The following is a 17495-nucleotide window of genomic DNA, read 5'->3' as shown; positions in this document are numbered from 1 at the left end:
GTCTCAAACTCCTGACCTCAAGTGATCCACCCGCCTCGGCCTCCCAAAGTGGTGGGATTACAGGGGTGAGCAACCGCACCCAGCCACAAAGCCTGTTTAAACACATTCCAATTTTCACCCAAATGTACACCTTAATCCTATCAACTGTTACATTTCTATATTCTCCCAGTCTAGTTGTAGCCCATGTTACAGCTTCACTAATGGATTTTGGTACCTCCGTGTATGAGGCTTCCATATAAAGGGGTCCCAGAAAGTTCTCTTTTCCTCCCATTTTACCCAGAAACTTCTCTTCACCACCCATTTCATGTGCACAAAGCTTTGGGTCCCCATCCCGGGGTGGAGCCAAAGAACCTTTGCCCTTGGTCTTTTTTTTTTTTTTTTTTTTTTTCTGAGACAGAGTGCAGTGGTGCGATCATGGCTTACTGCAGGCTTGACCTCCCCAGCTCAAGTGATCCTCCCACCTCAGCTTCACAAGCAGCTGGAATTACAGGCGTGCACCACCATGCTCAGCTAATTTTTTTTATTTATTATTTTTTTTTTGTAGAGATGGGATTTCGCTATGTTGCCCAGGCTGGTTTTGAATTCCTGGGCTCAAACGATCCACCTGTCTCAGCCTCCCAAAGTGCTGGAATTACAGGTGTGAGCCACCAAACAAAGCCCAGCCATCCCATTTCTTTTTTTTTTTTTTTTTTTTTTTTTTTGAGACTGAGTCCCTCTCTGTCACCCAGGCTGGAGTGCAGTGGTGCGATCTCAGCTCACTGCAACCTGTGACTCCCGGGTTCAAGCAATTCTCCTGCCTCAGCCTCCCAAGCAGCTGGGACTACAGGTGCCCGCCACCACGCCTGGCTAATTTTTTTGTATTTTTTAGTAGAGATGGGGTTTCACCATATTGGCCAGGCTGGTCTCAAACTCCTGACCTTGTGATCCGCCCACCTCGGCCTCCCAAAGTGCTGGGATTACAGGCATAAGCCACTGCGCCCGGCCATCCCATTTCTTAATAGCCACTGAGAGATTTCCACTTTGCTGGTAGACTTGACCCTTCCCTAGGCTTCTCCCCATTTTCACGTTAACTTAATGTTTTCATTAGCAGCTGTGGGATCCCTGAAGGGAAGCTGAGGCAGCAAATTCAATGAGGCTTTTGGGTCTATTGCTGTATTTTGCAGCTGTAAGTTTACATGGGGTGCCTATGCAAAAAGACCCCTTAACCATAGCTGAATATGGCCTGGGTAATGGGCATATTCAGTGGGTGAATATCATAGGCACCATAAAGCCAGTCCCACATGGCCTGCATATGAAGCCTATCAGCTGCTTCATCAGGGGTGCTCCTCTTGGCATATGTTACACAGTCCTATACTTAGGGTTGTGAAGGAAAATAAATCTCAGGACTCCAAAATCATTAAGCCAAAGGGTGTTAGGCAAACCTGCTTCACATTTTATTCCCAAATAAGATAGCTACAAAGATTAAAAAAAAAAAAAAGGCTACATGCCTCCCTCGCAATTTGCCCACAAGAAAAGACCTTGTGGGCCTCAAGACCTTTACCTTAAGATGTTCTGGGCTGGGTGCGGTGGCTCATGCCTGTAATCCCAGCACTTTGGGAGGCCGAGGTGGGCGGATCACGAGGTCAGGAGTCCGAGACAAGCCTGTAATCCCAGCTACTCGCAGGCTGAGGCAGGAGAATCGCTTGAACCCGGGAGGCAGAGGTTGCAGTGAGCTGAGATCACGCCACTGCACTCCAGCCTGGGCAACAGAGCGAGACTGCGTCTCAAAAAAAAAAAAAAAAAAAAAAAAAGTTCTGTTGAATTTCACCCTGGCAACGTAAATTGATAGCTTATCTTCACAGGTGCAGGATGACAAAGGACAGACAGAACTCAATGTCCTCCCTCTGCTCACCTGAGACAAATGGGTATCTGATTGCTTCCTCTGCCCTGTTGTTTCATTAGGCAGACTATTCTATCCCCTCTCACATGTAAATTATGTATTCAGTGAAAAGCTGATCAAAGACCCAAGAGAATGCAACCTTTTGTCTCTTATCTACCTGTTACCTGGAAGCCCCCACTTCAAGTTGTCCCGCCTTTCCGAACCGAATCAGTGGACATCTAACACATACCTTGGGCACCTGTTCTCAGTATCTCCTGAGTGCTGGTTTGGAATAAGTCTCTTCAAATATTTTACAGAATTTGACTCTTTCCGCTGACAGGGTAAACACACTTTACAGTGGCTTTGAGCAAGTCTGGCATGCTAGGTCTTCCCTCATGAATAACTTCTTGTGTTTTTGTGTGTCTGGCTCAAGTACAGCCATCTGTGATTGGTCACTATGAGCTGTGGGTCCTGCATCAACCCAGACATGCTCTTCCACTCTACAGCATTCAAAATCAAACATACTACCCCTATCATTTAGCTACTCTCACAATCCATTTCAGTAAAGGATTTTCTGGCACTATTAAGTGATTATAGTAAAGTCACAGGATACAGGCTTAATAAAAGTCAATTGTTTTCCTATATACCCGAAATGAACAATTGATATTTAAAATTAAAAACATAATACCATTTACGTTAGCACCAAAAAGATAAAATATACATAAACCTAACAAAATATGTAGAAGACATACATGAGGAAAATCAAACAAAATTTGACATGAAATATATCAGAATATATAAGTAAACAGAGAGATATTGCATGTTTATTGACAGAAATGTTAGAGTAATTAGGTAGTTAGGTAGTTAGACATGAGCAGAGCAGGAGAGCACCCCCCCTCAAACCCCACCAGGAGGTGATGGTCAGGCAGTTGTTAAAACTGTCTCTCTAAAATAATAATTGCTCCCTGCTCCTCCTCCTGCTCCTCTTCCTCCTGCTGCTCCTCCTCCTGCTGCTTCTCCTCCTCCTGCTCTTTCTCCTTCTGCTCTTCCTCCTTCTCTTTCTCCTCCTCCTCCTGCTCCTCCTCCTCCTGCTCTTTCTCCTTCTGCTCTTCCTCCTTCTCTTTCTCCTCCTCCTCCTGCTCCTCCTCCTCCTGCTCTTCCTCCTTCTCTTTCTCCTCCTCCTGCTCCTCCTCCTCCTGCTCCTCTTCCTCCTCCTCCTCCTTCTCTTTCTCCTCCTCCTCCTGCTCCTCCTTTTCTTTCTCCTGCTCCTCCTGTTCCTCCTCCTTCTCTTTCTCCTCCTCCTGCTCCTCCTTCTCTTTCTCCTCCTCCTGCTCCTCCTTCTCTTTCTCCTCCTCCTGCTCCTCTTCCTCCTCTTTCTCCTCCTCCTTTCTCTCCTGCTCATCCTCCTCCTCCTGCTTCTCCTGTTCCTCCTAAAAAAAAAAGAAAAATAATAATAAAAAAGAAAAATAATAATAATAAATAAAAATAATAATTGGTTGCAGCTGGCGCCAGGGAAAGGCAGTCTCTCAACAGATACCAAAAAACCTGAAACTGGTGATCAGCAGCTTCCCAATAAGATCTCAGGAGTTGGGCCAGTGGGCTCAAGACATGTGCACTACGATGCAAAATGGCCGAGTTTAACTGGTATATAACCTTCCTTTAGGAACACTCCGCTGGTAAGGGAAAAACTCCTCAAGTGAGCATGCGTAGAACTTCAGTAACCACAATGCGCATGCGGCCCCTTCTCAAGCGCTGACAAGCCACAGCACATGCGGACAGCCCACCCCAAGGTAAGAATCAAAGGAGGGGTAATATAGACCCAGGAAGCATAAAACCCCAAGTCAAAGTCAAACCGCACATTTGATCTCTGAAGTCGCCTGCTTGGCCCTCTTCCAAGTGTAGTTTGCTTCCTTTCATCCTTGCTCTAAAGCTTTTTAATAAACTTTCACTACTGCTCTAAAACTTGCCCTGGTCTCTCACTCTGTCTTATGCCCCTCAAATTCTTTTTTCTGAGGAGGCAAGAATTGAGGTTGCTGCAGACCCGTATGGATTCTCTGCTGCTAAAGGGAAGACTCAATACTGTTAACATGTCAATTGTCCCCACCTTGATCAGGAGATTCAACATAATCCCAATCAAATTCCCACCAAATTATTTTGTGGCTATCAACAAACTGATTCTAAAGTTTATATGGAAAGGCAAAAATCCAAAGTAGTCAACATAGTACTAAACAAGAACAAAGTCAGAGGACTGAGACCACCCAACTTCATGACTTACTATAAAACTAGACTAATCAAGACAGAGGTATTGGTGAAAGAATAGGCAAATAGATCAATGGAATAGAATAGAGAACCTAGAAATATATATACACACAAAAACAGCCAACTGATCATTGACAAAGGAGCAAAAGAAATTCGGTGAAGAAATAAGTCTTTTCAACAAATGGTGCTGGAACAACTGGACATCCATATGCAAAAAAAAAAAAAAAAAAAGCATCTAGACACAGTCCTTATATGTTTCACAAAAATTAACTCAAAACTGGGAGGCCAAGGCAGTGCATCACTTGAGGTCAAGAGTTCGATACCAGCCTGGCCAACATGGTGAAACCCCATCTCTACTAAAAATACAAAAATTAGTCGGTTGTGGTGGTGTGCACCTGTAGTCCCATCTGCTCCAGGGGCTGAGGCAGAATTGCTTGAACCCAGGAGGCAGAGGTTGCAGTGAGCCGAGATCGCACCACCGCACTCCAGCCTGGGTGACAAAGGCTGGAGTGCAGACCCTGTCTCAAAAAAAAAAAAAAAAATTAACTCAAAATGGATTATAGATCTCTATGTAAAATGAAAAACTATAAAATTTCTATAAGATAACAAAGAAGAAAATCCAAGTAACCTTGGGTTTGGTGATGAGTTTTTAAATACAACACCAGCCAAGTGCAGTGGCTCATGCCTGTAATCACAGCACTTTAGGAGGCTGAGGTGGGTGGATCGCTTGAGCCCAGGCGTTCAAGACCAGCCTGGGCAACCTAGTGAGACCCCATCTCTATAAAAATATATATGTATATGAATACAACACCAAAAGTATGACCTGTGAAAGAAAAAAAAAACAGTACGTTGTGCATTATTAAAATTAGAAACTTCTCTTCTGTGAAAGACGCTGATGACAGAATAGACAAGCCACAGACTGGGAGAAAATATTTGCAAAACACTTATCTCATAAAGGACTTGTATTGAAACTACCGTTGTAAAATTATAATGAGAAAATTATTACAGTGAAAGAGATCCAACCTAAACCAACTCCGTCTTGCTTCTAACCTCCAAACTACCCTTGTTCATTCCTGGGCACAGACCAAACTAACTTTGAGAGGAACTTAGTTTTTTTTTTGAGACAGTCTGGCACCGTCGCCCAGGCTGGAGTGCAGTGGCACGATCTCGGCTCACTGCTACCTCCGCTTCCTGGGTTCAAGCGATTCTCCTGCCTCAGCCTCCCGAGTAGCTGAGATTACAGGTGCAGGCCACCACGCCCAGCTAATTTTTATAATTTTGTAGAGACGAGGTTTCACCATGTTGGCCAGGCTGGTCTCAAACTTCTGACCTCAGGTGATCTGCCTGCGTCGGCCTAAGTGCTGGGATTACAGGCATGAGCCACCGCGCCCAGCGTGAGAGGAACTTGGCTTATAGTTTAACGTTGAAACAAAGAGGATAACAGCCCTTTCCCAAAACAAACCCCCTTCCTGCCTGGGGATTAGACTGCCTTTGTAGGACTAAGAAATTAGCCACAAGATTAGAAGTAATGATTTAGGAGTCATGCAACTAGAGACTACAAAATTCTGACTCTAGCCAAATTGTTCCTGGGAATAACATCACAATTGTAAAACCTAAGATTAGTGCTTGAGATATTTTGCAGACTCTGCACTTAATTGATCAGTTGGGACCACCCAGATCCGTAAACTGGCTCGATCTGGTCTTGTGGCCCCCACCCAGGCACTGACTCAGCACAAGAGGACAGCTTCAACTCCTATGATTTGATCCATGACCTGACCAATCAGCACTTCTAACTCACTGGCCCCTACCCACCAAATTATCGTTAAAAACTCCGATCCCCAACTTTTCAGGGAGACTGATTTGAGTAATAATAAAAATTCCAGTCTCCCGTACAGCTGGCTCTGCGTGAATTATTCTTTCTCTAGTGCAGTTCCCCTGTCTTAATATCAGCTCTGTCTAGGCAGCGGGCAAGGGGAACCCATTGGGAGGTTACAGTATCCAAAACGTACAAAGAACTATTAAACTCAACAATAAGAAAACAAACTACTCAATTAAAAAGTGGGCAAAAGATCTGAAAAGATGACCTCATCAAAGACATTCAGATGGTAAATAAGCATATAAAAAGGTCCTCAACATCATGTCACTAGAGAATTGCAAATTAAAACAAGGAGATAGGATCACACACCTATTAGAATGTGGTTTTTTTTAAAAAAAAAAAAAAAAAGGCTGGGCATGGTGGCTCACACCTGTAATCCCAGCACTTTGGGAGGCTGAGGCGGGAGGATCATTTGAGGCCAGGAGTTCAAGACCAGCCTGGGCAACATGGTGAAACCCCATTTCTACTAAAAATACAAAAATTAGCCAGGCATGGTGGCACATGCTTGTAGTCCCAGCTACTCTTGGGAGGTTGAGGTGGGAGAATCACCTGAACCTGGGGAGGTTGAGGCTCCAGCGAGCTGTGATCATACCACTGCACTGTCTCAAAATAATTAATTAATTAATTAAAAAGCTGACAATACCAAATGCTGGTGTAACTGCCCAATGGCTTCACCTTGCCTGTTACCCAGACAGAGCAGATTTATTAAGACAGAGAAACTGCAATAGAGAAAGAGTAATTCACACAGAGTAATTCACAAAGACCCAGAGTTGTATTAATACTCAAATCAGTCTCCCCGAGCATTTGGGGATCAGAGTTTTTAAAGGATAATTTGGTGGGGTGGGGGGCAGGGGTAGGGGAGAGCCAGTGTAAGCCGGGAGTGCTGATTGGTCAGGTCAAAGATGAATCCGTAGGGAATGGAAGCTGTCTTCCTGTGCTGAGTCAGTTCCTGGGTGGGGGCCACAAGATCAGATGAGCCAATTTATCGATCTGGGTGTTGCCAGCTGATCCATTAGGTCCAGGGTCTGCAAAATATCTCAAGCACTGATCTTAGGAGCAGTTTAGAGAGGGTCAGAATCTTGTAGTCTCCGGCTGCATGACTCCTAAACCATAATTTCTATCTGGTGGCTAACTTGTTATTCCTACAAAGGCAATCTAGTCCCCAGGCAAGCAGGGGATTTGCCTTGGGAAAAGCCTGTTAACATCTTTGTTTTAAACTACAAACTAAGTTCCTCCCTAAGTTAGTTCAGCCTATGCTCGGGAATGAACAAGGACAGCTCGGAGGTTTGAAGAAAGATGGGGTTGATCAGATTAGATCTCTTTCACTGTCTCAGTTACAATTTTGCAATGGTGGTTTCATTGGTGAAGATGAGGAGTAACAGTAATACTCATTCATTGCTGGTGGGAATGCAAAATGGTGAAAAACTTGGGAAGACAGTTGGGAAGTTTCTCTGTTTTTTTTTGAGACGGAGTTTCACTCTTGTTGCCCAAGCTGGAGTACAATGACGCGATCGTGGCTCACTTCAACCTCTGCCTCTCAGGTTCAAGCCATTCTCCTGCCTCAGCCTCTCAAGTAGCTGGGATTACAGATACCTGCCACCACACCCAGCTAATTTTTTGTATTTATAGTAGAGACGGGATTTCACCATGTTGGCCAGGCTGGTCTCGAACTCCTGACTTCAGGTGATCCACCTGCCTCAGCCTCCCAAAGTGCTGGGATTATAGGTGTGAGCCATTACGCCCTGCCTGGGCAGTTTCTTATAAAGTTTATAAAGCTTATATGACATAGCAATTATGCTCCTAGTTATTTAGCCAATTGAGTTCAAAACATGTTCACACAAAAATCCGCACATGAATGTTCATAGTAGCTTTTTTCATCATTGCTAAAACCTACAAACAATGAAAGTGCCCTTCGGTAGGTGAAGGAATAAGCAAACTGTGGTACTTCCAATTCATGGAACTATCAAACCACAAAAAAACATGGAGGAACCTTAAATACAAATTGCTAAGTGAAAGAAGCCAGTTTGAAAAGACTACATACTGCATGATTCCAACTACATGACATTTTAGAAAAGGCAAAACTAGACCTGGCATAATAGCTCACATCTGTAAATCCCAGCACTTTGGGAGGCTGAGGTGGGCAAATTGCTTGAGCCCAAGAGTTCAAGACCACACTGGGCAACATGGTAAAACCGTGTCTCTATAAAAAATACTGAAAATTAGCCAGACATGGTGGCATGTGCCTGTGGTCCTAACTACCCAGGAGGCTGAGATGGGAGGATCACCTGAGCCTGGGAGGTAGAGGCTGCAGTGAGCAGTGATCACACCATGGCACTCCTGCCTGGGCAACAGAGTGAGGCACAGTGTCAAAAAAAAAAAAAAGGCAAAACTACAAAGACAGTAAAAAATGAGTGGTTGATAGAGGTTCGGGCAGAGGGAAAGGCAGGATGAATCGCTGAAGCACAGGTGAAACGGAATGAAACTGTATGAAGCTGCACTGGTGGATATATGTCATGATCTATTTGCCAAAACCCCTATGTACAACACAAAGCAGTGAGCCTTACTATAAACTGTAGGCTAAAATTAATAGTAATATATCACTATCAGTTCATTAATTTTTACAAATGTACCACACTAATGCAAGATGTGAATAATAGGGAAAACTGCACCAGTTGTGGGGGGGGTTGAGGAGGTGACAGCATATGGAATTATAGGTACTATCTTAACTTTTCTGTACCTCTAAAACTGTATTAAAAATGATTATCAGCCAGGCACCATGGCTCATGCCTATAATCCCAGCACTTTGGGAGGCCGAGGTGGGTGGATCACAAGGTCAGGAGTTCAAGGCCAGCCTGGCCAACATGGTGAAACCCTGTCTCTACTAAAAATACAAAAATTAGCCAGGCATGGTGGTGCACACCTGTAATCCCAGCTACTCGGGAGGCTGAGGCAGGAGAATTACTTGAACCCGGGAGGCAGAGGTTGCAGTGAGCCAAGATCGTGCCACTGCACTCCAGCCTGGGTGACAGAGCAAGACTCTGTCTGAAAAAAAAAAAAAAAAAAAAAAAAAAAAAAAAAAAAGATTGTCAGCCGGGCTCAGGGCTCACGCCTGTAATCCCAGAACTTTGGGAGGCTGAGGTCAGGAGCTTGAGACCAACCTGGCCAACATGGTGAAACCCCATGTCTACTAAAAATACAAAAAAATTAGCCAGGCATGGTGGCGGGTGCCTGTAATCCCAGCTACTTGGGAGGCTGAGGCAGGAGAATAGCTTGAAGCTGGGAGGCAGAGGTGGCAGTGAGCCGAGATTGCATCACTGCACTCCAGCCTGGGTGACAGATCGAGACTCCATCTCACAAAAAAAAAAAAAAAAAAAAAAGATTGCTGGGCGTGGTGGCTCACACCTGTAATCCCAGCATTTTGGGAGGCCAAGGCGGGTGGATCACCTGAGGTCAGGAGTTGGAGACCAGTCTGGCCAACATGGTGAAACGCTGTCTGTACTAAAAATACAAAAAATTAGCAGGGTATGGTGTTGGGTGCCTGTAATCCCAGCTACTCAGGAGGCTAAGGCATGAGAATCGCTTGGGCCGGGGAGGCAGAGGTTGCAGTGAGCCAAGATCACATCACTGCACTCCAGCCTGGGTGATAGAGTGAGACTCTGTCTCAAAAAAAAAAAAAAAAAAAGATTGTCTATTAATTCTGTTCTATATGCACTTGGCATACAATCCCACAATTGTTCTCACATGCATTTACCCCACTGTGTAGGAGTAGAAATACAAACACAGTTTCTCCTACTAGACTCTCATAACATGCTGTGACAACAGATGAGTGAGGGATTTTCCTCACACATCAAGCAAGAGGTCAATTCTGCAGTAGACAACAGCTGGGTGTCCTCCAATTCAATTCCATTCTGACACTATCTGCCAGGATATAGCATCAGGTCCCACAGGTTGAGGGCTCAGTTCTGAAGACTACCCCCACTTCAGACTCCAGAGCTTCGTACTGACCAGCTACAAGTCAAGCTTCCCACAATCCCCTCCTAGGGTTCAATTAATTTGCTAGAGTGGCTCATAGAACTCAAGGAAAGGCTGGGAGTAGTGGCTCATGCCTGTAATGCCAGCACTTTGGGAGGCTAAGGAGAGAGAATTGATTGAGGCCAGGAGTTCAAGACCAGCCTGGGAAACAAAGTGACACCTCATCTGTTAAAAAAAAAAAAATTTTTTTTAATTAGCCGGGCGTGGTGGCACACACCTGTGGTCCTAGCTACTTGGAAGGATCACTTGAACCCGGGAGGCTGAGGCTGCAGTAAGCAAGCTGTCACTGCACTCCAGCCTGGGCGACAGAGAGACCCTGCATTTAAAAAAAAAAAAAAAAAACTCAGGGAAATGTGGAGTCCTAATTAGGGAAAAGGAGTTGCTCCAGGACATATAAACAAAAAGAAGATGCAGATAAGTTTAAGTTATAGGTCTGTCTTTCTTTATGGCCCAGGACATATAGTCTTCTTGAGCAAATAATGTACATAACTCACAAACTTCCTGCTTATCATCAAACACTCCAATTCATCATCAAACACCTTGGCTGACAGAAGAATGCAAGTTAGCTCCCTGCTACCTTGGCGTTATCAAACAGCCCAAGAACCATCCTATAAAATCTCCAGCAAGCCTTCATTTCCTCGAAGTCAGTTCCTCTTTTGCTGATTCTACCTGTTGCTCTCTTGCAATGTATTTTCCTCCTTTCTCTAATAAATCTGCCTTTCTTTACCTACAACTGTCGTGGTAAATTCTTTTACCTGTGAGCCACCGGCCCAGACAGTGGCCGCTCACCCTCAACAGGAAACACAAAACTGACTATGTTTACTGATTTATTATAAAGGATTTTTTTTTAAGACAGAGTCTCGCTCTTTTGCCCAGGCTAGAGTGCAGTGGTGCGACCTCGGCTCACTGCAACCTCCGCCTCACAGGTTCAAGTGATTCTCCTACCTCAGCCTCCCGAGTAGCTGGATTACAGGTGCCCGCCACCACACCCAGCTAAATTTTGTATTTTTAGTAGAGATGAGGTTTTATCATGTTGGTCAGGCTAGTCTTGAACTCCTGACCTCAAGCGATCCTCCCACCTCGGCCTCCCAAAGTGCTGGAATTACAGGCATGAGCCACCGTGCCCCACCTGAGCTTTATTTTTTGTAGTAATGAGGTCTCACTTTGTTGCCCAGGCTGGTCTTGAATTCCTGAACTCAAGCAATTCTCCGGCCTCTCCCACCAATAAAGGATATTTTAAAGAATACAAATTCAGGCCGGGCATGGTGGCTCACACCAGTAATCCCAGCACTTTTGGAGGCCAAGGCAGGTGGATCACCTGAGGTCGGGAGTTTGAGACCAGCCTGACCAACATGGAGAAACCTCATCTCTACTAAAAATACAAAATTAGCTGGGCGTGGTGGCATATGCCTGTGATCCCAGCTACTTGGGAGGCTGAGGCAGGAGAATCACTTGAATCCAGGAGGTGGAGTTTGCAGTGAGCCAAGATCACGCCATTGCACTCCAGCCTGTGCAACAAGAGCGAAACTCCATCTCAAAAAAAAAAAAAAAAAGAATACAAATAAATCACAGCCAAATAAAGAGATACATAGGGCAAGGCATGTGGGAAGGGGCCTGGAGTCTTCATGCGCTCTCTGGGTGCACCACCCTCCAGGAACCCCCATGTGTTCGGCTACCCAGAAGCTCTCCAGACTTTATCCTTTTGGGGCTTTAGGGGGGCTTCATTATGTAGGCATGATTGATTAAATCATTTGCCCTTGTGGATCGACTTGACTCTCAGCACCCTCTCCCCTCCCAGGTGGTTGGAGGGTCCCAACCCTCTAAACCTACCTTAGTCTTTCTGGTGACCAGCCCCATTCGGAAGCTGCCTAGGGACTGCCAGGCATCAGTCAACTCATTAGCATACAAAAAGACACTTTAGTACTTTAGAGATTCCGAGGATATTAGGAGTTGTTTGCCAGGAAAGACCAATTATATATTTCACAGTATCACACCCCTACAAAAACCTTACACAAACTATTATAGGATCTTTATTCATAATATCCAACAACTAGAAACAACCAAGATGTCTTTCAACCAGTGAATGGTTATACTGTTTGGTACATCCATGCGATGGAAAAGTATCAGCAATAAAAGGAATGGGCAGGGCACGGTGGCTTACGCCTGTAATCCCAGCACTTTGGGAGGCTGAGGCAGGTGGATCACGAGGTCAGGAGTTCAAGACCAGCCTGGCCAACATGGTGAAACCCCGTCTCTACTAAAGATACAAAAAATTAGCCAGGTGTGGTGGCACGCACTTGTAATACCAGCTACTCGGGAGGCTGAGGCAGGAGAATAGCTTGAACCCGGGAAGCAGAGGTTGCAGTGAGCCAAGATCACGCCATTGCAGTCCAGCCTGGGTGACAGGGCAAGACTCTGTCTCAAAAAAAATGAATGAACTATTGATATACTGTTAGCTATTGATATCTCCACAGAATTTTGCTGAATGACGAAAGCCAGTCCCAAAAGGTACATACTGTACAATCTGATTAATATAACAGTCTCTCTTTTTTGTCCTTTTTTTCCTTTTTGTGGAGAACAGGGTCTCACTATATTGCCCAGGCAGGTCTCAAACTCCTAGGCTCAAACTATCCTCCTGCTTCTGCCTCCCTAAGAGCTGGGATTACAGGCATGAGCTGCCATGCCCGGCAAATAAAACTTTTTTTTTTTTTTGAGACAGGGTCTCACTCTGTCACCCAGGCAGAGTGCAGTGGCACGATCTTGGCTTACTGCAACCTCCGCCTCCAGGTTCAAGCGATTTTCCGGTCTCAACCTCCCGAGTAGCTGGGAGTACAGGTGCGTGCCACAACACCTGGTTAATTTTTGTATTTTTAGTACAAACAGGGTTTCACTATGTTGGCCAGGCTGGTCTCAAACTCCTGGCCGCAAGTGATCCACCCGCCTCGGCCTCCCAAAGTGCTGGGATTACAGGTGACAGGCGTGAGCCACCACGTCCAGCCACAACATTCTTGAAATGAAAAAATTATAGTATTGGAGAACAGATTGGTGGTGCCCCAGGGTTAAGAGGGGAGTGATGGAGGAAGTGAAGTGGTTGTGTCTATTTAATGACAACATGGGGGATCCTTGTGGGGATGGAAATGCTCTGCATGTCAATATCCTGGGTATTACGAGATGTTACTACTGGGGACAAAAACTAGGTAAATGGTACATTGCATTTGAATCTACAATTATCTCAAAATATAAATTTAACTAAAAATAAATAAAAAAATAAAGAACATATAGAAAAAAATAGGATCCTCCTCCTTACCTCAAAAGATCTGCCAGGTTCTCCTGGAATCAGGGCAGGGAATCTCTGGGGTGATGTCCCATTAGCTGGCATGTTCACCCTGGGCCTCAGCCCACCTTCCGTGCTGGACAGCTGTCTGTGTGTAGAGGGTCCTGCAGCCTCCAGTAAGGGGTAAGGCTCAATGGCTCCACAGAGACACCAAGAAATCCTAAAAGGACAGTATCCATATCATCAGTGTCATCCCACATTCACGCCACAATGTTCAGCATCCCCAGAGCATGAGTCAAGGTGGATTACAAAATGATCAAATTTGGGGCCAAATTAATGAGCTTGGGGTCCCTTCTTGAGTGGCTCTACCAGGTGCTTCACTCGCTACTCAGCCAGCCTACACCTCAGTTCAAGTTCAAGGCAGATCTGGGTTTAGGAGAAGTAGAACTGGGGCAGTGCTTAAGGGTGCTTAAGGCCCATGGGGTGGGCAGGTTCAAGGGGACCTGGTGGGTGACTGTGAGGGCAGGAAACCTGGAAAGCTGATAATCTAAATGAAAGGAAATCGGCTGGTCCTTTCTTCTGCCGTCTTTTGTTTTTTTCCACTCTTAGATGAAATATCCCTCTTAAATTCTTTTACTGGGAAGCTTTTAGCCTCTTCTTTCCAGAAAAAAATGGTTCAATCTTAATAATGTTATGTATTTTTTCTTTTTTTTTTTTTTTTTTTTGAGATGGAGTTTCACTCTTGTCACCCAGGCTGCAGTGGAATGGTGCGATCTCAGCTCACAGCAACCTCCGCCTCCCAGGTTCAAGGGATTCTCCTGCCTCAGCCTCCCTAGTGGCTGGGATTACAGGCGCCCGCCACCACGCCCAGCTAATGTTTGTATTTTTAGTAGAGACGGGTTTTCACTATGTTGGTCAGGCTGGTCTCGAACTCCTGACCTCAAGTGATCCTCCCGCCTTGGCCTCCCAAAGTGCTGGGATTACAGGTGTGAGCCACTGCACCAGGCCTAATGTTATGTATTACATCAACAAATTACAGAGGGAAACACTCTGCTGTTAACTTACACCAAAAAAGCATCCAACGCAATTCAGCAGCCATTACTAATATAAGCTCAAACTAAAATCATGGAAAAAGTAAATAACTTAAGTGCCACAAAAATCAATTATGAAACATAACTCTGAAACACCATGCTAAAAAGTAAAATGATGAAGCTATTGCCACAAAATTAGTACTGTCTGCTATAACCCAAAATTGTTTTGTGGGCTCTAGCTCACACAAGAGAAGATGAAATAGAGTGGGCTGGGCACAGTGGCTCATGCCTGTAATCTCAGAACTTTGGGAGGCCAAGACAGGAGGGTTGCTTGAGTCCAGGAGTTCGAAACCAGCCTTGGCAACAAAGTGAGACGCTGTCTTTACAAGAAATAAAATAATCCGAGTGTGGTGGTCCACACCTGTAGTGCCAGCTACTAAGGAAGCTGAAGCAGAAGGATAGCTTAAGAAGCCTGAGAGGTTGAGGCTGCAGTGACCTCTGATGGCGCCACTGCACTCCAGCCTGGGTGACAGAGCAAGACTTTGTCTCTAAAAGAGAAAGAAAAAGAAAGAGAGAAAGAGAGAAAGAAAGAAAGAAAGAAAGAAAGAAAGAAAGAAAGAAAGAAAGAAAGAAAGAAAGAAAGAGAGGAAGGAAGGATGGAAGGAAGGAAGGAAGGAAGGAGGGAAGAAAGGAGAAAAGAAGAGAAAAGAAATAAATAATCAGGCCAGGTGCAGTGGCTCACGGCTTTAATCCCAACACTTTGGGAGGCCAAAGCAAGAGGATCCCTTGAGCCCAGGTGTTCAAAACTAACCTGGACAACATGGCAAAACCCAGTATCCTTAAAAAACAAACAAACAAACAAAAACACACACACAGAGTTGCAGTGCATTGAGATCACTCCACTACACTCCAGCCTGGATGACAGAGTGACACTTTGTTTCTATTAAAGAAAAAAAAAAGAGGCCAGAGGAGGCGGCTCACGCCTGTAATCCCAGCACTTTGGTAGGCCAAGGCAGGCTGATCACCTGAGGTCAGCAGGTCAGGAGTTCAAGACGATGGTGAAACCCCGTGTCTACTAAAAACACAAAAATTAGCTGGACATGGTGGCACACACCTGTAATCCCAGCTACTCAGGAGGCTGAGGCAGGAAAATTGCTTGAACTCGGGAGGCAGAGACTGCAGTGAGCCGAGATCACGCCACTGCACTTCAGCCTGGGTGACAGAGCAAGACTCCACCCCAAAAACAAAACAAAACAAAACAAAAAAAAAAAAAAAGAAAAAGAAAAAGAAAAAAAGGCAGAAAGAAAAAAGAAAATAATAATTAGGGTGAACATGAACATTGGGAAGAAATGAAAACGAAAATGTAGCTTTCTATCCAATAAGATGATTTTATACATGGAAAACCTACCAGACTGCTAAAAGACTACTAAAATTAATAGGGTATAATATAATGTAAGGGGCTGGATACAAGGTAAAATTACAAAAGCAGATAGTTTCTTTTCTTTTTTTTTTTTTTTTTTTTTGAGACGGAGTCTCACTCTGCCGCCCAGGCTGGAGTGCAGTGGCACGATCTCGGCTCACTGCAACCTCTGCCTGGGCTCAAGCGCTTCTGCGATTCTGCTGCCTCAGCCTCCTGAGTAGCTGGAATTACAGGTATGCACCACCACACCCAGCTAATATTTGTATTTTTAGTAGAGATGGGGTTTCACCATGTTGGTCAGGCTGATCTCAGACTCCAGACCCCGTGATCCTCCGACCTCGGCCTCCCAAAGCGCAGGGATTACAGGCATGAGCCGCCGCACCTGGCCAAAAGCAGATAGTTTCTCTCTATAATAACAATGAGGCAATGGAAACAAAATTGCATAAATAATGATAGCAAAAACTATATAAAATACGTAAGTGTAAGTATAACTTTTTTTTTTTTTTGAGACAAGGTCTCCCTCTGTCACCCAGGCTGGAGTGCAGTGGTGCAATCACGGCTTTCGGAATCAGGCAATCCTCCCACATCAGCTTCTGGAGTAGCTGGGACTACAGGAACGCTCCACCACGCCCAGCTAATTTTTCTTACTTTCTTTCTTTCTTTCTTTTTTTTTTTTTTTGTACAGACGGGGTTCTCCCTGCGTTGCCCAGGCTGGTCTCGACTCCTGGACTCAACCGATCGCCATCCTCGGCCTTCCAAAGTGCTGGGATTACAGGAGTAAGCCACCGCGCCCAGCCAGAATAAACATTTTAAGGAGGTGGGCCTATACGATTACAAAAAGAAAAAAATTTTGACTAATATAAAATAGTCGGCCTGGGGCAGTGGTTCACGCCTGTAATCCCAGCACTTTGGGAGGCTGAGGCGAGTGGATCGTTTGAATCCAGGAGTTGGAGACCAGCCTGGGCAACATGGCAAGACCACCATCTCCACTAAAAATATAAAAATTAGCTGGGCGTGGTAGCGTGCGCCAGTAATCCCAGCGACTCGGGAGGCCGAGGCACGAGAATCGCTGGAAACGGAGGCGGAGGTTGTAGTGAGTGGAGATCGCGCCACTGCCCTCCAGTCTGGGCGACAGAGCGAGACTCCGTCAAAAAAGAAAGAAAGAAAGAAAGAAAAGATGGTGTATACAAAATATTCTTGATTGCAGCTAAAGAGATTCTTAAGGAAAAACGCATGCTCTTAAAAATTTTTTTAACAAAGAAAGGCTGAGCATTAATGAATTAACATCCAATTTAAGAAGTTAGAGAAAACGGTACAGATAAGAGCAGAAATTAAAGAAATAGGAAACGAAGGTACATCAGAAGAGATCTGTGATCAGAGGAGCAACAAGGTCAAAAGTTGTTTTTTTGGAAAGGCTAATAAAATTAGCAAACCTCTGGGAATACTGATAAAGGAAAAACCTAAAGCGCACACTATTAAGGCTGGACATCAAGACACAGCAGGGAATCTAAAACCTGACTACTCCAGAGGCCCTCATCCCTGACACTCATAGATTCCCATTCATTAGGTTCTTTATTTCCCCACCAATTGACACCACAACTGCCAATGCATCATCCCCCGAAGCCAACAAAACCTCAAAATCACCTGAGCGACTATCACGCCATAAAACCTCGTGCACTGCATTTAGCATCGCGCGCCAAGAAGACTTAAACGGCCTCTGAGGGGGATTTCCGTTTCCTGTCCTC

General features: G+C 45.0%; 1 protein-coding gene across 1 annotated transcript in view, besides 2 other annotated features; it reads right to left on the bottom strand.

Moving 5' to 3' along the window:
* Positions 1–13495, bottom strand: part of ZNF157 (zinc finger protein 157) — a 43921-nt gene extending 30426 nt beyond the window's left edge. The window contains exon 1 of the mRNA NM_003446.4: positions 13333–13495. Coding sequence (NP_003437.2) covers positions 13333–13404 — 72 coding nt within the window. The 5' untranslated portion in view covers positions 13405–13495. The remainder of the gene's footprint in view (positions 1–13332) is intronic.
* Positions 2438–2937: an enhancer, noted in NCBI's record as "H3K27ac hESC enhancer chrX:47240535-47241034 (GRCh37/hg19 assembly coordinates)". NCBI's record gives its function as "activates a minimal SCP1, AML or CMV promoter by ChIP-STARR-seq in naive H9 embryonic stem cells {active_cell/tissue: H9 hESC(naive)}" and the evidence as "EXISTENCE:reporter gene assay evidence [ECO:0000049][PMID:30033119]".
* Positions 17323–17422: an enhancer, noted in NCBI's record as "active region_29592". NCBI's record gives its function as "activates an Ori minimal core promoter by ATAC-STARR-seq in GM12878 lymphoblastoid cells {active_cell/tissue: GM12878}" and the evidence as "EXISTENCE:reporter gene assay evidence [ECO:0000049][PMID:35858748]".

Source organism: Homo sapiens, chromosome X (assembly GCF_000001405.40).
Source record: "Homo sapiens chromosome X, GRCh38.p14 Primary Assembly".
NCBI lineage: Eukaryota > Metazoa > Chordata > Mammalia > Primates > Hominidae > Homo > Homo sapiens.
This window is presented reverse-complemented; position numbering and strand designations above follow the sequence as displayed.